Source organism: Homo sapiens, chromosome 21, assembly GCF_000001405.40.
Source record: "Homo sapiens chromosome 21, GRCh38.p14 Primary Assembly".
Classification (NCBI taxonomy): domain Eukaryota; kingdom Metazoa; phylum Chordata; class Mammalia; order Primates; family Hominidae; genus Homo; species Homo sapiens.
The window spans coordinates 41,209,908-41,233,751 of NC_000021.9; the positions used below are offsets into that span (position 1 = coordinate 41,209,908).

At 47.2% G+C, this 23,844-nt stretch overlaps 1 protein-coding gene across 4 annotated transcripts in view, besides 1 other annotated feature; it reads left to right on the forward strand.

The window, feature by feature from the left end:
* The window catches only part of BACE2 (beta-secretase 2), a 114,371-nt gene that overhangs the window by 41,748 nt on the left and 48,779 nt on the right, over window positions 1-23,844 (forward strand). For 3 of the 4 annotated variants that reach the window (NM_012105.5, NM_138992.3, NM_138991.3), the window contains exon 2: window positions 16,359-16,447. In NM_012105.5, coding sequence (NP_036237.2) covers window positions 16,359-16,447 — 89 coding nt within the window. Of the gene's footprint in view, window positions 1-615; window positions 1,126-16,358; window positions 16,448-23,844 lie in introns of all 4 variants that reach the window. The other variant, XM_017028314.2, reaches the window with a different exon arrangement.
* Window positions 12,727-13,226: an enhancer, noted in NCBI's record as "H3K4me1 hESC enhancer chr21:42594561-42595060 (GRCh37/hg19 assembly coordinates)". NCBI's record gives its function as "activates a minimal SCP1, AML or CMV promoter by ChIP-STARR-seq in primed H9 embryonic stem cells {active_cell/tissue: H9 hESC(primed)}" and the evidence as "EXISTENCE:reporter gene assay evidence [ECO:0000049][PMID:30033119]".

Genomic DNA, 23,844 nt, shown 5'->3' on the forward strand with positions numbered 1-23,844 from the left:
CTCTCCCCGTTGTAGAAATGTGTCCTTTCTACTCTTCATAAGGGATGTGTGTTATTTGGAAAGTTTCAAAACTCAGTCAGGGAGGTCCCCCTTCCCCCTAACCAACCTATCACCCCAGGAACGAGGTTTCAGCTGCAGAGGTAGTGACAGCTCCCAGGTCCAGAAGAATTAGGATTTGGGGACTTGGATTTGAGTGATCTCTTAGGTTCTTAAAACGGGCCTCCTACACCCTAAATACTGCTCCCTCAACTTCAACCTCCACAGTTGGTATCAACCTGCTGTCAACTAAAAGTAAGCTCCTAAGCCCCCCACCAACTGAACAGACCCTTCTTTTTGCCAAGGAGACCCCCCAAAAAAACCTTAAAAACTTAGTTCTCAGCCATGATGGGACAGGAGATCAGACACACCTTGTTACACTTTCTCCCTTTTATGGTTTAGGCACAACGGCTGACCAGTACTAATGTTAAAATAGAGAATAGAACAGACTGTTTGTGGCAACAAGATACCAACTTATAAGCAGCAACCTCAGGTCACGCCAGGCAAGGGTTGAGCCGCGTACTCTACACTTAGAGAACGGATTCTGTTCTCATGGCACAGCGTCTTCTTTTTCTCCAGCAGCTAAAACACTCACCGGCCCGGAGATCAGCCAGATTCAAATGACTGCAGCTCATCCGCCCACAGACGCAGACTGACCCCGTTCCACAGCCATGACTGCAGCTCGGATTGGGCAGGAGACTGACTTCAGGAACCTCCTCCAGATAAGAGACCCCTGACAGTGGACTGGCTCTGGTTGCTTTACAGAGGCTGCTCACTTGAGTGCCTTCAAGTCCTGAAAAGACCTTTTTGACATTTAGGGCCTAACTGTGATACACTTAAATGTTAAGACTCCAGCCCAGAGTGAACACAGGAGGCATGTCACATGGATGTTCAATATGCGTGCATCAGGACCACCTTCATGAATATTCATAGTTCCTCCTGTAAACTGCTGAATATGTATGTTTAGCCAACCCATTCAGCGTAAAGCTCCTTCCCCAACCCCTCCTCCTTCAAAGTGCCTGTCTCTGTTCTTGCACAAAGGCACACTTCCCAGACTGCAGGATGGCCGCCTTGCACCTTTATAAGAAGGTATTCTTTTCACCTTCCCAAATGTATAAATATTGTGTTGATTTTTTTTTTAAGTGAACACTGCTAAATGCTAAGCATTTGGTGGAAAACCACCACATTCCAGAATCAGGCAGCCAAGCCCATCCCCATTCCCCCCTCCCCATCCCTCTCCCCCCTTCACTGCCACCGTCCACTTGGCAGCTGTGGTTTTCCCAAGAGGAGCCCAGGTATCCATGTGTCTCTCAACATGTGTCTTTCTAGTAGGAGCCTGTACAGCAATAGTGAAATGGCTCACACTCTCACACATGCACACACAGCCAGAATAAATTGTATAATCAAGCTCCTCTTAGCTAAGTTCTGTAACATCTGTTTGTGTTAAGTGGTGCTCTTTGAAAATGATTCCCCCCTCCCTTTATAAAAACAACCTTAATTTTAGATTGTGGAGAAATGGCGCATGACAATTATTTTTGCTTTCTTCAACAAGATGTGTTTAAGTAAATGAGATTCATTTCTAGAACTGAAGCGCTGAAAGAGCCTGATTAACAGAATCAGTGCCTACAATCATATGTAATAACTGTGGGCAAACAGCCCCGCGTGGCTGGGCTGCAGAGGCCACTGCTGCTGTGGGTTCGGCTTGCCGGCAGACTTCAGCAGATGGGCTGCTAATATAATTAGGAATCGTTGTGTTAAATGAGCCATTATTTAAATTATCTGCTAATTTTCCTATCTATTAACCTGCTGAAATAGAGAGAGTAATATCTGAGAAATCTCAGGCTGCTAATCACTAACTAGATGAATCGCCCAGTTTTTCCCTTTAATGCAACATTTTACCTTATTGCAGCAATTAGCAAATGGCTTTCTGTAGGGTTATTGCCCAGTGCATCAACCAGAGATTAAGAAGGGACAGTGGGAGACGTCCACAGTCTGTTTAGGTTTCATCCAGGTGGCAGATTGGTGGCTAGACCATGGCTTCTAGCCGAGGAGGCTCTTAGCTTTCTCGACCACTGTTTTCTTGTTTATTTCATAGTCTCTGCATTAAAGGATATTTGGCCTTCAGAAAGCTTCTCTTAGTCCATTTGGGCTGCTATAACAAAATACCTTAGACTGGGTGGCTTATTGATGGCAGACATGTATTTCTTACAGTTTTGGGAGCTGGAAGTCCAAGACCCAGGCACTGGCAGATTGAGGTCTAGTGAGGGCTTTGTGCTTCATAGAGTCAGTGCCTTCTCTCTGTCTCCTTACATGGCAAAAGGGATGAGCGAGCGCTCTCACGTACTTTTGTAAGGGCACTAATCCTATCTCTTAGGGCCCCACACTCATGATCTAATTGCCTCCCAAAGGCCTTGCCTCCTAATATCAGTACGTTGGGAATAAGGGTTCATCATACAAAGTTAGGGGTCAGGGCACAGACATTCAGAGCACAGCAGAGCATAAGGTGAGGACTGTGTGAGTATAACTTCTCTCACTCTCCCTACCCTGAGACACTGGTAGGGGGCAGGAAAGTGAGGTAGGCGGGAGGAGGAGGTCAATACAGGGTGCACTCAGAGTGGGCTATTGCAGTGCACATCTGGGGCTCAACCCCACCAAGGACTTCTGGGGGATGACACAGAGACCACTCCAAACTGTTTGCCTGGGGAGTAAGGGAGCAACGGTTTGGACCCACCAGCTGTTTATTTTTGGTCAAGGGCTGCTCCCAGGAGCATTCACTCCCTGGTACGTCAGACCTGACTTGGACACTAGATAATCTCACTCCTGAGGTTACAGAAGCTGAAGTGAGTGCCCAAGGAATATGGGTAGGCCACCAGCAATCTCTGCTGTCTTCTCGCTTCTAGCTTTGCTTATACTTGGACATTTAAGAGACAAGTTTGTGGTTATTTATATAGCAGCTGGGAAGTTGACTAAGTTTAGCCTACCCTTGCCATGTCTAGAAAATCTAAATTAATTCTTTGCACACATGATTTAGGAGTTTGGCCTGTTGAACTTTCTCCGGCTACTTCCAACTTCTTGGCAGGTTTGTTGACCTAATTGGCATTCTCTCTGCTCCCAGGTGGGGGCTCATGGACATGCTTCCCCATCTGAAGGAACAAGTGATTAGTGAATTCCTATTAGTTGCAGGCACTGTGGGGACCATCAAAAAGAGACTAAGAAGAAGAGCTTTGTCCTTAAGGAATTTACAAGCTCATTGAGAGGAAAGAAAGGAAACCGGGAAACATTAGAGGACAATAAAAGACACGAGACAACCCTAGACACCAAAAATCAGGGCATGAGCTGTCAGAGAGGAGTAAATCAGAGCTGCAGCTGGGAGGCCTTCTGGGGAACGCAGGACTTAGCATGGGTCTCAAAGGCAACAGCCTTTGTACGGTTTATCGTTTACTCTCAGCCAGCAGGCAGAAGGGGTGAGAGGTGGTTTCTACTTGCATCAAAACAAAATAAGGAATATCAAACCCCACAAATCATGCTGTTGAAAAAAATGAGTAAGCTGGCTGGGCACGGTGGCTCACGCCTGTAATCGCAGCACTTTGGGAGGCCAAGGCGGGCGGATCACCAGGTCAGGAGTTTGAGACCAGCCTGAACAACATGGTGAAACCCCGTCTCTACTAAAATACAAAAAAATTAGCCAGGCTTGGTGGTGGGTGCCTGTAGTCCCAGCTACTCAGAAAGCTGAGGCAGGAGAGTCGCTTGAACCCGGGAGGTAGAGGTTGCAGTGAGCCAAGATCGCGCCACTGCATGCCAGCCTGGGTGACAGAGCGATACTCCGTCTCAAAAAAAAAAAGAGTAAGCTTTGTCTGGGCAGGGCCCGGCATGGGGAGAAAGTTTTGACTGTTTCCAAGAACAGTTCTAAAGGATTCTTCCTGAAAAATCCTTTAGAATCAAATTGCTCCAGAATCAGCCATTTTCCTTGTCCAGAGGTTTTAGTGCCATGGGATGCTGTGGACTGTGTGTCCCTGGTCACCAGGAGGCAAACTCAGTTTACTCAGTTTTCACACCTTGCTGGCTAAAATTGCACGTGGAACCGGCGCTAGTGTTTATTTGCTCACTCACCGTGAGCCAGCACCATGAGGAGCACGTGTCACAGCATTTACTTCTCACAAGCACCCCATGAGAATGGTCATCACCCCCTTTCCTAGAAGAGGGAGGGTGCAGAGAGATCTGGGGAGAGGAACCCACCTCTTCCAGGTGCCAGGCACTGGTACATGAATGGTGGAGGGAGATTGGACCCCAAGCCCTGCGTGCATTCAGTCATTCTGCTCAGTGAAGTGTGGACAGAATTTGTTTGATGGGAGGGTAGAATTGTTCTCAAAGGGCTTGTGACACAGGAGGAAGACGTCCACGTTCAGGACATGTCTAGTTCCTACCCATCCGTGATGTGTGCATAATGGTCATCCCTCTTTTATAATTATTTTGTAAAATCTGATGATGCGGTTTTGGGCAGGGCTGCTGGAACTGGGGCATATTGTCAAGGAAGTCTATGCCAAAGACGAACAGTTTTCATCGTGGGGGCATAGAATTTTCACACATCTTCTGGAATAGATCATCTAAACTCTTTTACTCTCAGATTTTCTGTATAATTGGTAGGTGCTCAAGAGATTTGCTTTAGAAATGAACAAGCCACCTTCCTTTTGCCTGGAATGTGCATTTCTGCCACTTGCCCTTCACTGCATGAACGTCTCTCTAACCTTGACTTTCATTTATTCATTCAACAACTGTTTAGTGAGCACCTACTAGGCTCCCAGGCACTGTCTGAGGTACTGGTGACAAAGAGATGAGCCACATGTGGCCCTACTGTCAGCTGTCATGGAGGGCGCACTGTGCTGGGGACATTATCTGGAGAAGACAGGCTCCTGTGTGACGGTGATGCACCCAGGACAGGGGCACAGAAGCCTTGGGAACACCATGTAAAGTTAGAGGAAGAGGTATGGGGGGAGGGCAGAGATCAGAAGGAAGGACTGTGGGGGGCAAACCAGGAGGGCGCATTTCCAAAGCTTCACTGAGGCCTGGTCACTTGCGGCCAGCACTGCCTGCAGGCTGGACAGGTCAGGGGAGAGCTCAGAGATGACCGTGGGCCTGGAGCACGGGAGGTCACTGGTGAGCTTGGCCGGCCATGGAGAGCTGAGGCAGAAGCTCCATCTCTGCAGGTGGAGGAGAGAAAGAGAGAAAGGAATTGAGACGGGAGGTGGCCCACTGCTGGATGCTTGACCGCAAAGGGGGAAGGAACAGTAGCTGGAGGGAGTGTGTTTTGGGTTTTGCCATTTTTAGGAAGGCGAGAAGAAATTAGCCACTGAGTTCCTGCAGTTCCACCTCCTTAGGTCTCTGGCAGCTTGGATCACAGATGGTTTTCAAGGGCAGGTCCTGGTGGACAGGCCATTCTCCCTACTAGATGCTGCACTCTGCAGGGGCCAGGACACAGGCACCATCATCTTTGCTGCTCTCACCCCATGCCCCAGGTTCAGCACAGCAAAGACCCACATCTGCCCTGCAAAGGCCCTCGAGGCCGCTGATGTTGGCGGCAGGGTTGGAGTAGTTAAAAGCCAGTGATTTTCAAGGTAGAAGACTCCATCCAGCTTCTGCTGGAAAACCGGTTTTTGTTAGTTGTGATTGTGTTCTGGAAAAATGGAATGTGACTTCTATGGGAGGCTCCCTAGTATCAGGAAGGAAGCAGGGAACAGGGGCGGGGACGTCGGGACCTCCATGGGCTGTTTCACATCTCCAAGGCGTTTCTGTTTTCCTCAGATGTAAAGTGGGGATCTGTCTATCGTATGAGCTTTTGAGTCATTTTAAGTTATGCTTTGCTTGGAAGTTAAGAACATTCCCTGAATTTGAGAATATATATTTTCAATGACCTTTTATGTAGCTGGAGGGACATGGCCCAGGGCTAGGCTGGTGTGTGTGTGTGTGAATACATGCATACATGCACGTGAGGTTGAACCCAAAGAGGCAGGAAATAATTTTGGAAATTCCTAGAATAAAGGAAGGGGCAGATTAAATTGCTAGCATGTGGCATGAGGTGAGGAACCTGGAAGGAGCCCACAGCCGGGGTGTTTGAGTTTTCCGTTGTTTGAGAGCGCGTCGTGTGAAATTTATAGAGCAGGTGGCATTACTATTTTTATCTCTGTGGTTGAGGCTACTTGTGAAAGTGGGTGATGGTCCTGGCTAGAATTCAACACGAGAAAGGTCCATTTCCAGTGTCACCACACAGAAAATGGTGGTGGCTCCTGCGGGCCGCTCAGACACATGATGTGATGTACAGCCCAGAGCGTTTACTGTGCCCTGGAGACTCAGCCCTTGCCTGACTCTGTGGCTGCCTTATTTATTTGGGGCCATTTCTCTCAGATCATATGCTCCAGGAACGACCATCGTGGTGACTGGCTTTGCCAAGCTGTGACTCTGAGTTGAACCTTCTTGAAAACTAGCTTTTGCTGGAACTGCCACGGAAGATAAGGTTGTGCTGAATGCCTGGGCAATGAGAAGAAATCACCTGTGTAAAAGAATGCAGTCCACACTTTGGTCTGACTTTCTCTGCATTTGTGTTCCCTGCCTCTGCGGAGGAGTGACACCCCCTGAGAGGCAGGACCGGGTCTGGGCGTGTGAGAACGAGCTCCGGTCATGAGGCAATGCAGAGGCTGCGGTGGAGCTTCAGAGGGAGGGAAGCAGGGTGAAGCGTCTCTGGAGAGAGTCCCCCTGTCACTGGGGCTGCTGTGTGGAGGGCAAGTCTTGTTCCTGCCTTGGCCCTGTCTAGTTACGCAGTCGCAGTCAGCGCGGACGTGCGTTGCCAGCCTGACCGGCCGGGTGTGGGATCTCCTGAGCTACTGAGTGCAGAGTTGCCAGCGAGACCCAGAAATGGTTGTGAAACAGCTTCCACGATGGACAGTGGGCACAGGGAGGAAGGCTGGTCTTGTTCAGAAATCTGTAGCTGTTCTTTTTTTGTTTTTTTTTCTCTGAGATGGAGTCTCGCTCTGTCACCCAGGCTGGAGCGCAGTGGTGCGATCTTGGCTTACTGCAACTTCTGCCTCTTGGGTTCAAGCAATTCTCCTGCCTCAGTCTCCTGAGTAGCTGGGATTACAGGTGTGTGCCACCACGCCAGGCTAATTTTTGTATTTTTAGTAGAGACGGGGTTTCACCATGTTGGTCAGGCTGGTCTTGAACTCTGACCTCGTGATCTGCCCGCCTCGGCCTCCCAAAGTGCCGGGATTACAGGCGTGAGCCACTGCGCCCGGCCCAATCTAGAGCTGTTCTTATCTGTGACTTTCAATGGCCAAGAAAACGTATTTCCTACTGTTGTGCAATTAGTTATTTTTTTAGGGCGATTGATGTTTCTTGCCTAACATCCACACTGTCCTCTTCTCAAGCCCTAGTATTCTCTGATTTGCCTTGTAAAGGAATTTTTGTGTGTTTGTTTTCTGTCTCTCCTTTACCTCTTTACCCCCCTCCTTTCCCTCTTTACCCCGTTTTAGCCAAGCAACTTCCAAATTCATCTTGCCTCCAGAAAGCATTTAAATCCCCAACACAGAGACAGTGGTGAACACTCAGGGCCCTGTGCCTTCCCTGTGGCAGCTCATGGCAGCTTTGGCGAGGTATCTGCTGGTTGAGCCTCGGTGCTTTCCAGCCTGGGTGCTGGACACGTTGTACTTTGGAGCCCCCTCCCAGTGATGGTTTAGGTCCCGGCCCTTGCTCTTTTCACATCAGCCATAGAAGTGGCTTTTGCTCTTGTGATAATCCTAAGCTGGATGCAAAGAAGGTGTCACAGAGCCAGCTCGGCAGGCAGCAAGGAGGCCTGGAGGCCGGCAAGCCTTGAAGATGGACGGAGCAAGTAAAGGCGGCGGCCAGCAGCAAGTGAGTGGGAGGCCTGGGGACACGCCTCCATGACACAGCCTGAGGGCTGCCAGCCCCTACCAGAAACTGGGAGAGACAAGAAGGGCCCTCCCCTGGAGCTTCTGTGGGAAGCGCAGCCCCGCCCACACCTAGATTTTGGACTTCTGACCTCCAGAACTGCCAGAAAATAAATGTATATTATCTCATGCCAACCAGTTTGTGGCTGTTTGTTAAGGCAGCCATAAGAAATTAATGTAAAAAGTGAGTCCCGTTTTCCAGGAAACTTGAATCAGACCAACCAATGTTAAGATATGTCAGTAAAACTACAGAACGATGGTTCTAATATAAACAATACAACTATAGAACTTTGTGGCTATGGAAAGAATTCTTCAGTAACCAAGGAGAAAAAGTCACGTGTAATGAGGAAAAATAAGACATGCTTTAGATTTCTCCACAAATACTCACTGTTGAAATACACTGGAGAAACATATATATAAAGTGTTAAGAAAAAAAATATGACCCAAATGCACAAAACCCAGGCAGATCATTCTTCAAGTGTAAAGGCCATGGATAGGTGCTCGCAAGCATGAAAGCCCTTGGGGAAGATGGTGTCCAACTTTGGGTGGGGCCCGTGGGAGGCTGAACAAAACCTAGCCATTGGGGAGCTGGGTGAAGTCAGAGACAGGAGGACTGGTAGGAAGGAGAGAACCTCTTTCCTTATAGAATGACTAAGCAACTGTGGGAAATATGGGTATCAAAAACAAATCTTGAAAATATATAAACAACAGTGTAACCTATGGAGAGGTTGGTGGGACTCAGATTCCTGGTGACATAGGTACATTCACCACCTCATCTTCCTTAATGGAAGGAAATTCTGACAGATGATAAATAAAAAATATTGGCAGGTAGGTAAAAAAGAAAGATGTTCATGCATTATGTAAAATTACAAAAAGGCATATCATGAAAGTAAAAATAATGTTATAATCCAGCACTTCTTCCCATCACTCCCTATCCTGGAGCACCCCCTGTCCCTTCCAAACATCTTGACTTTTTTTTTTTTGTGACAGAGTCTCGCTCTGTCACCAGGCTGGAGTGCAGTGGTGTGATCTCAGCTCACTGCAACCTCCGCCTCCCGGGTTCAAGCGATTTTCCTGCCTCAGCCTCCCGAGTAGCTGGGACTACAGGTGTGCGCCACCACACCCGGCTAATTTTTGTATTTTTAGTAGAGACGGGGTTTCACTGTGTTAGCCAGGATGGTCTGGATCTCCTAACCTCATGATCTGCCTGCCTCGGCCTCCCAAAGTGCTGGGATTACAGGCGTGAGCCACCGCGCCCAGCCAATTCTTGATTTTTTTAGAAGTGTGCAGAGTGGGGATCCCAAAAATATCATTCTAAGTTGCTAAATCAAGAGAAGAGGTTAAGATATATCACATAAAATTGTAAAGAAAATGACTAGAATAATTTAAAAATAGATGTAAAGCTTGCAGTTCACCAGAACAATTATTAAACACCAGAAATCTGTATAGTAAAGATGAAAAGAATAAAAGAAGAAACATTATAGCAGACAGTGTCACATAGGAAGAGATAGGATGAGGAAAAATGTGTATAATTGGATGCAAATTGATAAATTCATCTCTTAAAATAATTCAGTTTGGGGGAATGTTTAAAAATGGTGCAGGGATTCTGATATGCCTGCCCCCTTTGAGAATCAGGTTGTGGTGAGTTACTGATAACTTAGTGTTTATTATTTAAGAGCAGAAAAAGAGAGAACCCTGTCCTTCAGGAATATCTGGTTCAACCAGACTGACCTAGGGACGGATCTCCTTCACTTACTTTGACCTGTTACTGACTATTTGATACATGCAAGAATTACTCAGCCTCCAACAATTTCTCTCCTGTGAAATCCATGTAAATGCAGATTTGCTTGGTGTCCTCTAAGTGGAAAAACCACACACTGATTTCCCTCTGCTCTCACACCACAACGATCAACACAGAAGACTTCCGGGACCAAATGTGCGGGGATTTCTCCTCACCAACAAACAATCGATCGGTTCTGCGACAGACACCAGCTGCGTATCCTCTAATTTAGTTCAGTTCCTACACTGTCTGCCTGGGGATGGCGTGGGACCCCAGAGTGAGGGCCCAGTCCCCCAAGACTGCCCCCAGCTTCCATGCCAGTTGCGAGCTCCGGGTCATTGCCTGTGCTTCTGATCGATCGGCTACAAATGGAAGATTTCCAGGATCCTATCCTTGGTTTGATTAATTTGCTAGATTTACTCACAGAACTCAGGAAGACATGTACACTGGTTTATTATAAAGGGCGTTACAGAAGATACAGATGAAGAGATGTGTAGGTTGAGGTATAGGGGGACAGGTACAGAACTTCCGTGCCCCCCCTGTACACGCCACCCTCCGGGAACCTCAGCTGTCTGGAAATTTAATGAACCCTGTTCTTTTGGGGTTTTGTGGAAGCTTCGTTATGTAGACATGATTGATTAAGCCATTGGCCATTGGTGATCAGCTTAACCTTCAGCTCCTCCCCACTCCCCAAGGTTGGGGGTGGGGCTGAAAGTCCCAGTCCTCTAATCCCGCCTTGCTCTTTCTGGTGACCAGCCCCCATCCCGAAGCTACCTAGGGGCTGCCAGCCATCAGTCAACTCACAGCATACAAAAACACATCACTTTGGAGATTCCAGAGATTTTAGGAGTTGTATGCCAGGAAATGGGGATGAAATCACATACGTATTTCACAATCTTTCATGCCCTTTTGTACGTTTATGAGAAATTAGGATTAAATCTAACCCAAACTGTGGCTTTGAAACTTGGGGCTGTTGAGCATCTAATATTTGGATGAAGAACCAGATAATAAATTATTATATATAATACATTATATATATGTAAATATATTTTTATATATGTGAGATTACATTCTATCTGAAATCAACCCAAACACCTCTGTAAAGGAGCAAGCTCTTACACATTTTCTAGGAGCTGTGTATTTGTAAATCGAAATTAAGAATAGAGCATTCATTTACTAAAACGAAGAGGTTTAAAGTAACATTTATAGTCTCATTATTTAGAGTGCCTTTGCTGGCCAGGTGTGGTGACTCATGCCTGTAATCCCAGCACTTTGGGAGGCTGAGGCGGGTGGATCACTTGAAGTCAGGAGTTCAAGACCAGCCTGGGCAACACAGTGAGACCCCATCTCAAAAAAAAAGTATATTAAAAAAAAAAAAAAAAAACAGTAGAGTGCCTTTGCCATTGTTTTAGATTCACTTCAAACCTTCATCCCCCAAATCTGTTTCCCTACCATTCCTACAAAGTTTTTGTGAACATGATCTTCATTGGTCGGGAGGGAATTCTCTGAAGTCACAAAGTAGCTTTTCGTTTGAGAAAACACAGGGGTGTGACCACAGGTTACAGCACTGCCCCTGGCAGATGCCCAGGACTGTCGTTCATTCCTCTCCACTATTTCCATGGCCTCCTGCAGGGGAAGGGGCAATGGCACTTAGTACATTAGGGAAGTAGGAGTCTGACAGTTTCTGCCAACAGCTCGAAAACTGTGTGTGCAGAACCTACACACAGCTGGTTTGTGTGCACAGACTGCATTATTCTTGCTTATTATTTTGGAATCTGTTATCTTTGTACCAAGGGCAAAACGAGTGTCTTTGATTTTACCTTTGCAAATAATTTTGTTGTCGATTCCACAAATGTGTGAGTGTCGGCCGGGCGCGGTGGCTCACGCCTGTAATCCCAGCACTTTGGGAGGCCGCAGAGGGTGGATCACGAGGTCAGGAGATCGAGACCATCCTGGCTAACACGGTGAAACCCCGTCTCTACTAAAAAAATACAAAAAAATTAGCTGGGCGTGGTGGCGGGAGCCTGTAGTCCCAGCTACTCGGGAGGCTGAGGCAGGAGAATGGCGTGAGCCCAGGAGGAGGAGCTTGCAGTGAGCTGAGATAGAGCCACTGCACTCCAGCCTGGGTGACTGAGCGAGACTCTGTCTCAAAAAAAAAAAAAAAAAAAAAAAAGTGTCAGTGTCTACTGTGTGCCTGGCCCTGTTACAGGCATGCACGGCAGACAGAGCAGCAAACAGCAAAAATCCCTGTCAGAGGGAGGCTTCACGCTGGTGGGGCGGAGGCAGCAGGAGCTGTCGGGACCCCGTGAATGGCATGATTGCGCACGGGGCCCAGGCAGTGGCTGAGTTGGTTACAAGAATGCGCTCGGAGTCTGACTCTGGGTTCCAGCCTCAGCTCTGCCACTTACCCTTGTAGAGTTGAGCAAGTCAGACTCTCTGCACCTCAGTGTTTGCATCTGTGACGTGGAGTGAGGACTGTGCTGCCCTCAGAGCTCTGTTATGAGGTTGAAATAAGCTAATGGATATAGGAAGCACGTACAGCAGTGCCCAGCCCACTGCAGGCGGTGTTCAGTGTCTGCTGTCACTGTTATGTGAAAGGTGTGGTGTTATGGGAGGGAAAGGGATGCACAGGCCGGCAGGAGACTGGGAACAGCAGTTCTCCCAAAGGGCCAGCCAGGGTCAGCTTCGTGGAGAAGGTGGCGTTGAAGGAAGCCTGGAAGGGAGCGATGGGCCGTGCCACATGGACCTGGACCTGGGTATCCTGGGGAAGAGCCCCCACCCCAGCAAGGTGGCCAGGGGAAAGGCCCTGCCCCTGGGGGATGTCTGGGGCTTTCACGGAGTGGCCTGGTGGTCAGCGTGGCTGGGAGGAGTGATGTCAGGGCATGGCGAGTGACTCAGCAGGCCATGTGAGGACTTCGCCAGTTACTCTGGGTGACGTGAGAGCCATGGGAGGTGGAGGGCTGACTCCCTCTGACTTAACTGTAATAGGACTGTGGTGGCTGCTGGTTGGAAGTAGGCCTAGGAAGGAAGCAGGGACACCAGTGAGGACGAGGAGGGGATGACAGTGGTGTGGACCCCCACAGACTCCTTGGAGGAGGTGAGGGGTGGGCCGGTGTGGGCCAGAACCTGAAGGTGGAGCCCTCGGGACCTCCTGGTGGCTGGATGTGGGCCATGAGGGGAAGGAAGCCCTAGGGATCACCTCCGGCATGGCCTGGCCTGACCTGATGGAGCTGCTGTCGACCGAGATGGTCAAGTCCACCAGGAGAGCAGGGGTGGGGGCAGCTGGAGCTCAATTCGGGACACGCCAGGCGTGAGATGATGTCCCATCTCAAGATGTTTCCTGGACCTGCTGTAACTAAGTACACAAACTGAGAGCTGAAAACAACAGGAATGGGCCAGGTGCAGTGGCTCATGCCTGTAATCCCAGCACTTTAGGAGGCCAAGACGAGAGGATCACTTGAGCCCGGGAGTTCAAGACCAGCCTGGGCAACATAGTGAGACCCCATCTCTACAAAAAATAAAAATAAATTAGCCAGGCATGGTGGTGCACGCCTGTGGTCCCAGCTACTTTGGAGGCTGAGGTGAGAGGATCCCTTGAGCCCAGGAGTTTGAGGCTACAGCAAGTGATGATTGTGCTGCTGTACTCCAGCCTGGGTGACAGAGTGAGACACTGTCAAAAAAAAAAAAAACCCCAGGAATGTATTCTTTCACAGTTCTAGAGGCAAGAAGTCTGAAATCAAGGTGTTGGTGGGGCCATGCATCCTCTGAGACTCCAGGTGGAGCCGTCCTTTCCTCTTCCAGCCCCTGGCCATGGTTGTCAGTCCTTTGGCATTCTTGTGACTCCGTCACTCCCATCCCTGTCTCTGCTGTTACTTGGCACCCCCCGTGTGTCTGCTTTCCGTGCATTTTCGTCTCCCTGGAAGGACGCCTGTGATACTGGATTAGAGCTCACCTCTGTGGTCCTCACCTTCACTTGATTATCTCTGTAAAGACCTTTTTTCCAAATAAGGGCACATTCACAGGTGCAGGGGTTAGGAACTTCAGCATCTCTTTTTGGAAAACACATCTCAACCCATAAAAGATGACTATTAGCCAGCCAGGGAAAGGTGTTGAATAGGTAGAGCCCAGAGTGCATGCGCAGCCCGGGGCCGAGAGGTACACTTGGGGTTCGTCAACATGCGGATGGCATTTAAAGCCTTGAGACTCAGTGGGGACCCCAAGGGTGTGAGTGGATGGATCCCAGAAGTGATTCCTGAGCTGAGCCCCGGGAAAGTTCAGCAGGGTGGGGAGATGAGAAGCACCTGTCCGTGAGACTAAAGTGAGGAGTCAGAGAAGGAGGAAATCAGGAAAGTGTGGGGCCCCGGGATCCAGAGTGAAGAATATTTCCAGGAAGAGGGAGCGAGACTGAGTCAGATCCTGCTGATGGGTCAGCTCAGAGACAAACACTGGTCCCAGCTAAACTGAGGTCCTTGGCAAAATTATTTTATAATTGTTGGTAAGATAATCCTAGGCAAAAACTTGCCTATTTTGATTTTTTTTTTTTTTTTTTTTTTTGAGATGGAGTATCGTTCTGTCACCCAGGCTGGAATGCAGTGGTGCGATCTCGGCTCACTGCAACCTCTGCCTCCTGGGTTCAAGCAATTCTCCTGCCTCAGCCTCCCAAGTAGCTGGGACTGCAGGCGTGTGCCACCACGTCCGGCTAATTTTTTGTATTTTTAGTAGAGATGGGGTTTCACCGTGTTAGCCAGGATCCACTCACCTCGGCCTCCCAAAGTGCTGGGATTACAGGCGTGAGCCACTGTGCCCATCCGATTTTGATTTCTTTAGTCTATAGCTTTTTAAACCTGTTTTTCAACCTTTTGGGCTATATCTACGTGGTCTGTGTTTATTTCTAAAAGAAGTGTTCATTCTGTAAACAACTGGGCATGTGTCTGGACTTGGGATAGATGCTGGGCATAAAATGATAAGTAACATACACACCTGCCCTGAGACATCGTTCACTGGGGAAGATGAGTGAAACAGTGGGATACAGGGCAACAGCCCAATAGCATTGGTCCCTAGGGGACTGCAGATTAAAACCACAGTGAAATACCGTTCCACACCCGTTAGCATGGTTCACATTGAAAAGACCAACACCACCAAATTTGGGGGAGGATACAGAGCACATAAACCAAATGGCCCATGGACCCATTGCTCATGGGAATATAACTTGGTGGACCCACATAGCAGACGTGTTCAGCAATTTTCTTTAAAACAGTAAAAATGTATCTAGTCGGCTGGGTGCGGTGGCTCACGCCTGTAATCCCAGCACCTTGGGAGGCCGAGGCGGGCAGATCACGACTTCAGGAGATCAAGACCATCCTGGCTAACACGGTGAAACCCCGTCTCTACTAAAATTACAAAAAACTATCCGGGCTCGGTGGCGGGCACCTGTAGTCCTAGCTACTGAGGAGGCTGAGGCAGGAGAATGACGTGAACCTGGGAGGCAGAGTTTGCACTGAGCCGAGATCGTGCCACTGCACTCCAGCCTGAACGATAGAGCGAGACTCCATCTCAAAAAAAAAAAAAAAATATCTAGTCTATGATCCAAAAAGTTTCACTCCTAGGTATTTACCCAAGAGAAATGAGAATATATGTCTGCAAAAAGACCTGTACAGTGTGTCCATAGCTGTCTTATTCATAGTAGCCTCAAAATGGACACAACTCAAGGGCCCGTCGAAAGCAGAGGCAAATCATGGTGTGTCCCTGCATCGTGAAGAGAAACAAAGGGCTGATGCAACATGAGGACGTCTCAAAGACAAGTTGCACTTAAGAAGCTATGCTAAGAAAACAAACACACAGAAGCCTACATCATTACATGTATAGAATGTTCAAGAACTGATGAAACCAGTCCGTGGTCACAAAAGCCAGAAAGTGGTTGCTTCTGGGGACCAGAAGGGAAAGGGGCATAAAGGAACCTTTTGAGGTGAATAGAAGTTTCTGCATCTTGGTTTGGCACACATGCCAAAACTCACCAGGTGAGCATTTAAGATCTTGCGTTTTTATTATATGCAAATTATATCTCAAATAACCTAAAAAACAATGCTTGTGACAGGTGTGCCCAGGTGCCATGCATGGAGGTGAGGGGCCACCACATGCCAGGAGGAGGCTGGGAGGCATCCTGGGGAGGGGAGGTCACGTTGGATCGGGGTTTCCAGGCGAGATTTGGAAAAGCAAGGGGAGGGTGAGCCCAGTGGAGGGCTAAACCTGGCCGAAAGCCCAGAGATAAGAAAGAGCTCAGCCTTGGTTTCAAGCACCAACGGCCTAAAAAGGAAACCCAGTTATTTAACAGAATCCATTCTCTTTTAAGGCTCAGTGTGTATCTGAGACAGGACCATTTCCCCTCTCCAGTGCAAGCTTCTTCATGGACTTTGTTCAGATTTCAATTTTATAATAGCTTTTTCTATTCTCCTCGTCAGTATACTTTTTTTTTGTTCCAACTGATAAATTATTCTTGCTACTTAGTTTTAAAAACATTATTCAAGAGTATTGCCTTATTAAAATAACTTGATGCTTTCTATTTTTTTTTTCTCCTTAAAACATAAAAGCTACAGATTCTCGTTGACACTGGAAGCAGTAACTTTGCCGTGGCAGGAACCCCGCACTCCTACATAGACACGTACTTTGACACAGAGAGGTAAGCGCTGGCCCCTTGGCTGGTGTGCTGGGCCGGGGCACTGCATGATCAACATGCTTCAAAATGCACCAGAGCATGACAGCCAGAAAGCTGTTTCATTTTAAGGGGGATACCAATATGTATGTGTATGTATACACACATGTGGACATGTGTATGCATATGTACATGTTCATTCCATCCACAAATCCACAGCAGGAGTCTCCTCATGGCCTTCACGCATTTACATGAGATTCATTTTCTAAAAATCCAAGTCAAACACAACTCCTTTAGTTATCCCAAGTCGCAGGGAGCTTGTGGCCCTTTGGTGTTTATTGCAGCAGCTTTAGTTCTGCAGTGGAGGTGGGCTGGAGCAGGGGACGAGGTCTTGGGAGTCTGTGAGGCCACTCTGGCCGAGGGTGTGGGTTTGCTTCCTCAGCTGAAGGGATACATGGAAACCCACCTTTGCATAGTTCAGTAGGGGTTACGGTGTGGTTCATGGAAGCCATTTCTGTGGGTTGGTTTGCAACACTCATTTGGAAGAGTGAGTTTTGTGAGCACAAAGTATTAAGGGCCAAGACTGGGGCTGCACATGAGCAATTATGGGGTGGAGTTGAGAAAAAAAAGTGTAGCCTGATGGAGGTCTCTGGAATAGAACAAGCCTTGCCCATGCAGGCTTCCGAGCAGCCCTGGGTGGGGTTGTGGGGAGGCCCCCAGCGGCTTGTGGCAGCCTTCAGCTCTGCAGGAGCCCGTGGGGTCTAGAGTCACCGCCCTCTGTGAACTGGAAGCTGCTCTAATGCTGTGCACGTTTTGATGTCACAACTATTTTTACGATTCTGAAATTTAAATTCAACAGACAGCCAGGTAAATTTAAATTCAACGGACAGAACAGGTAAATTTAAATTCAACGGACAGAACAGGTAAGCTGACATGCTGGTTTGTTTTTTAGGGTCATGAACCTTCTAGAGGCTCGGAACTGTCACATTAGGTTTCCCTACTGTAAATTCTTTTCCTGACTTCCCTTTCTCGCTTTCCTTATCCTCAGTGTTTTGTTCCGGGAAATAAAGGCCAGCTCTAGTTGGGGACAAAAGGAGGGGGAAAGAATAACTGAAGTCTTCTGAAAATGCCAGGCAATTTAATAAAGCCAGATGATTTGCTGTGTATGAAAGAAAGCATAGAGGAAACCCTGTATATCTATGCTACCTACACCACATCCTGGGCTCCACTTTGGTGCCATAAATGATGGGGCCTCCTGCACGTATGGCTGCAGGTGCTTGCTGGGGAGAGGGCTGTGGTGGCCAGTGCTCTATGAGGCTTCAGAAAAATATGGCTGGCCCCTCCCTCAAGGAACCTATAGCTTGGTTTATGGCTTCATGTGTTGGTAAGCTTTCTTCATTGATATTCCCGGATACAACTCCTGCCTATGATCACTATGTGCCCAGCTGTTGCTATAACCACAAACGTGTGTAGAAGTCGTGGTGGTGTTTCTCTCTGTGTGTGCAGCAGAGGTTTGGTTTACGATGGCTTATGCTGCCCCGTCCCACTCAGATCTGTGATTCATCCAAGTCCTCAGTCCCCAAACAGCCCTCACCTCCAACTGTTCACTCTGGACTGCTCATCATGGAACAGGACTTGGAGTTGGTCCAAACCCCTCATTTTGATTCCTGCGGCACAGGAGTTCAGAGAGACAGGGGACTTGCCCAAGTTCAAGCTTTGAGGCCAGCAGTCCCCAAACCTTCAGCCAACACCTGCTTTTTATAACAAGTGCTTTGTCATTCCCTGAAGTAAATGCAAAGGTCATATGACTTATCTACATACACAGCTCAAAGTGCCCTGACGTCATATGGGGGGAATACAAGGGAAGTAATGTATAACCGGCTAATCAGTACCTCAGTACGTGAACACTCTGGCTCCGTGGTGCTGGTAGACCACGCAGTAGGCAGATGCTGGAGGTGAGTTAACATCACCATGGACATGTACACCCAGTGTAGACTGATCAAGGCAAGCTGACTTACACTCACACACCCCAAGCAGCTCAGCTTGCTGTCTTAGACTGTTGTGCTGCTATAAGAGAATACCCAAGGCTGGGGAGTTTATAAAGAAAAGAGGTTTATTTGGCTCATGGTTCTGCAGGCTGTACAAGAAGCATGGTGCCAGGCTCTCAGGCTGCTTCCAGTCATGGTGGAAGGTGAAGCAGAGCCAGTGTGCAGAGATCACATGGGAGAGAGGAAGCAAGGGTAGGGGAAGGACGTGCCAGACTTTTTTTCAACAATCGATCAGCCCTCCCTGGAGCTAACAGAGTGAGATCTCAGTCATTATTATGGGCAAGGCACAAAGCCATTCTTGAGAGATCCGACCTCACTACGCAAACACTTTCCACCAGGCCCCACTTCCTACACTGGGGATCAAATTTCAACATGAGAATTGGAGGGGACAGATATCCAAACTCTATCAGTTGCTGATGTGATTTTCCAGAATGGACAAGAATCTTAGGAAAGTTCCAAGAAAAACAGAAAGAGAATCAGCTTCCCTGGATTTCCATAGTAGCGAATATGCAATGTATACTAAACCTGTGTAGAAAAGATGGTATGCATATGTGAATGGGAGGTGCATTCTGTGCTCATATGATCCAGCAGATTTCACCCATGTTGATGCCCAGAGCGACTTTGGAAAGTGGTGTGGGATGGGAACAATACTTCATTTTGCATGACTGCCCTTCACATTCCAGGATAACCAGCATGCTTATCAAACACACCCCCAAAGTTTCCAAAACTTCCCCTAGGGGACAGGACCTTCCCCATTGAGAACCGCTTATCTGAATAGTCCCTGATAGTCCCAGCCCTGTGTTGTTTCCACTGCTGGGCTCTAGTCTGTACGACACGTTTTCCACGTTTCCCCCTCACTGGGGCTCAGCACACAGGGGCAGAACCAACACACGTGGAGCTTGCATTTCCTCGTTTAGCAATTCTTTCCCACTTAGAATAGGTTTTTCTCTCATCATCTGTAGATGCAAGATACAACAGAAAGAAGCAGTAAAGCACAGTAAAGTCAAGGTTAGGGTGATGTGGATGGTGACTTTCCAGATTTAAAGGGAACCATGCAAGTCAAGCCCTGTGGATGGCTACTTTTTTCATGGCAGATAAATAGCAGTTCTGTGGCAGCCGCTCATCGCCAGAGTCCATCAAGGTCAAAGTATGCTTCTCAATCCACACATCCTTTCGCTATGCAGAGGCAATTGTTGAAACCTTCAAGGGTAAATAATACTCTGCATTATCAAGACTATGTGCAATATTTCATCAACCGTAGACAACCCACCGCATCTTTCTCAGCTCCCTTCAACTGTGTTCAGTGTTTGGTTGAGCTGTGGTTCTCTTTCAGGCTACCGTGGGACACATCTCTCTTACTTACCTGCTAGCCCTGTTTTGCATTCAAGTGGCAGATGGTTCCTGTTTTCCATCCTTTGGGCTTCTCTAGTCCATATGCATTTGATGAATATGAAAACTGGGATCATCCAGAACTCATTTGATGACTAAGCCTTCCCTCCTGCTAATCTCACAAGATAATTCAGGATTTCTTGCCACCATTCTGACCACTCAAGGTTCTGATCTGTTTCTTCTTTTGTGGGTAAATAAAAAGAGAAAGAACACACCAGTGTCTGGGGAAAGCCCCTCAATGGTTGGTTTCACCCCATTGCCACTTCCACCATTCAAATTCAGTGTACCTTCCTTATTTGCGAGTACTGCAGAGACTGACTTATTACATATAACACATCACGCACCTTTTGGGTGTCTACCCTGGTACCGCCTTTCTTTTCAAGAGACCATTCTTCAACAGAACTGTAAGGTTTCTTCTTGGCTGAATCAGATGTGACGCATCCCACTTCTGCGTTTGAGGCGAGTTCTATTCCTTCAGCTGCATCCCTGCTACCATGCTTGCTTTGCAGATTAAATTCTTAGATTGATATTAACTTGTTTCCTTTTATCTGCTTTTTACATGCTTTATTATGGTTGATATGCTTTATGATTGAAAGATATGAATATTTTCTTTCAATGTCAATTATGTATAATTAATTTGTCTAATGCTTTCGTGTAACTTTAGAGCTGGCCTAAGTTATACTTTCAACCATTGTATTTGATGGGAGCCAAGAGACTGTCCTTTTGCCTTCTCAATTTTTGACAAAGGTTTCTTTTCTGAGCTGCAGCTCTCTGCCCTGTGATGTGTCTGTATTTGCTTGTGCTTCTGATCTCTCTTAGTTATAATAAGGTTCTGGTTGGGTTTGTCCGCCTCTGATTCACGTCCTCAGTCTTTGGATATTCAGGTCTAATGCTTCCTGAAACATGTTACAGTAATTGGAGATTTGGCGTGGGGTTCTTTGACAAGATCTCTTTGATTTATGGAATGAGATGTCAGGCTACCATTAGTCATTTGTGAGCTCGTCTTTATCAGAATCCATCTTTTCATGGTGGTGAATGTTCCAATGAGTTACTATAGAGCAAAAAAAGAAAAAAAGAAAAGAAAAGATCATGTATTTTTTAAATGTACATCTTTTTTAGCCAATAAAATCTCACCTCCAGCTAGTTGGCTTGAAGAGAGATCCAGTATACTCATCCCTTGACCCTCCACGAATCTATTCAGGAGATTAAGTATATTTCCATTAAAATGTCTCCTTACTTCTGTACTATATCCGGGTTGAAGCTCACAGAGCAAGAGACCAATTTATTTTCCTCAACTAATGTTTGTAAGGGACTTCTTTAAGGAGGCTAAACTGGATACAGATCAAATGGCTTTCCATTCAATGAGGACAGATATTTTTACCTGATTATTGAGATCATTTCTCAAGCATGTCCATCATTTGCCTAGTAGAAGGGGACTTGCTGTTTTGGAGCCTGTGAGCATTTAACGTTATTGAGGATGTTGATGAACCGCCAGGCTGGGCAGGCTGAGCTGACCCTGAACCTCAGGGGGTCTCATGCATTCAGGTCTGGTGACTTCGAGAATCACAGAAGATTAAGAGGGGCATCCGGTCACCTGGGCCAGGACAGTAAGCCCACGGGTAGATTTCAGACCCTGAGAGCCCCAGGGAAGTCCTGAGCAGAATTCTTTAGGAGACTCAGCATTCCCTGGGTCGAATGGCTTAGGAGAACCAGAGCTGACCCAAGGATTGAACTCTAGAATTCTGCACATCCACCTTCTCTTTTCGTGTTCTCTGCAACCAACAGCAGGTTTCTTTTGAAATAATAAAACGTTCTGTAGCTCTTTTCCCCTCAGTTCAATTGATTTCACTTTTTAATCCTGCATTCCCTGAGCACTCTTATCAGAGGCAGAACATCTTCTGAATTTGGTTCAAAGTGTTTTTATTACTGTGAGCAGGCTTTTTCCTGGCCACCCACATCCCTGATTGATTGCTGTTTCTGAGCACCCAGAATGGACATTGCCAAGGAGAAGCCCATCCAGGTTTCTTGCTCCATGTATTTAATTATTGTGCAGAGCAATTGAGAGCCAAAGCATTTTAGTCGCAAGAGGTGGGACGTTAGAAAATGAAGATGAAGGCATGTTTTTCATTTAAAGTGCTGGAAACTCTACGCTAATAATAACCCCTAGAGTCACTTATGAATGATTCTTCTCTGGGGTTTTACTCAGAGGTTTAGTTCAAGGAACCCAGAGAATATGAATATGAACTGAGAATTACCTTTTTTTTTTTTTTTTTAACATTATCTAGGACTGTGCTTTCTACAAGGCTAGCCACAAGTCACATGTGGCTATTTAAATTTAAATGAATGTTAAATAGAAGTTCGGTCTTTCAGTTGCACTATAATCGCATTTCAAGTGTTCATTAGTCACAAGCGGCCAGCGTATTGGGCAGGATATTTCTGTCGTCACAGGAGGTTCTGTTGGACAGCGCTGGTGCAGGGCAGAGAGGAACTCTGCCGTTTAGACACCGGTTGCACAAGAGCTTGAAGCGTCACCACCTCGCCTTGACCTCCTTAGCTGAGACACCCCACACACACTTGCTCCTTTCATGGGGTGGTTGGACTTTAGAATGAGACAGCTTTAGATTCAGTAAGAGTAGCTCTATAGGAGCATTTTCCAGAAAACAAACAAACAAACAAAAACATCCTGATGATATGCTTTGGGTGCAAATCTCATGTTGAAATGTGATTCCCAGTGTTGGACCTGGGGCCTCAGTGGAGGCATTTGGGTCATGGGGACAGATCCCTCATGAATGGCTTGTTGCTCTCATCAAGGTGATGAGTGAGTTCTTGCTCCGTTAGTTCACATGAGAGCTGGTTGTTTAAAGGAGCCAGGCACCTCCTCCTCTCTCTCTTGCCCCAGCTCTCACCATGTAATGTACTGTGTCCCCCTTCGCCCTCCACCTTGAGTGGAAGCTTCCTGAGGCCTCACCAGAAGCAGATGCCAGCAACATGCTTCATGCACAGCCTACAGAACCATGAGCCAAAATCATACCTCTTTTCCTTATGAATTATTCACCCTTGGGTATTCCTTTATAGCAATGCAAACATGGCCTAACAGACTTGAATTTTTTTTTTTTTTTTTTGAGACAGAGTCTCGCTCTGTTGCCCAGGCTGGAGTGCAGTGGCACGATATCGGCTCACTGCAAGCTCCACCTCCCGGGTTCATGCCATTCTCCTGCCTCAGCCTCCCGAGTAGCTGGGACTACAGGCGCCCGCCACCACACTTGGCTAATTTTTTGTATTTTCAGTAGAGACGGGGTTTCACCGTGTTAGCCAGGATAGTCTCGATCTCCTGACCTCATGATCCACCTGCCTCGCCTCCCAAAGTGCTGGGATTACCAGACTTGAATTTTCTAATAATAACTCATAGCCTGAAAAAAGGCAGCAAATGATTAATTATAATAATAGCAGCTATTTTGTGGCATATCTCCTGTGTTCCAAGCTTTTGTTCTACATGCTTTACAATATTAACTCTTTTAATCTGCATAATTAACTTCACGAGGGATGGTATTATATTATCACCATTTTTTAGTTGAGGAAACCGAGGCATAGAGAAATAAATAACTTGGCCCTGGGTCACACAGCTAATAAGGGATTGAACTCATATTTGAACCCAGGCAGTATAACTCCAGCTGCCTCTGCTGTCTCTGGAAATGACACCAAAATATCCAGAGTGCTCCCTCTGTAAGGAGACCAGCAACCTGAGCAGGAAACTAGAGAAGACATGCTAAATAGATATGCAGGCTGGTTCAGGTTCTTACTAACACTACAAATTCTACAGAGTTTTCTATAGCCTGGACAGAGTGAAACTAAACTTTTCAAAAGGAAGTCATAGCATTTTAGACTGTTTAGGAAAGATACAATTACTCTACCAGGGCTGGGCAAGGTGGCTCACGCCTGTAATCCCAGCACTTTGGGAGGCTGAAGCAGGTGGATCACCTGAGTTCA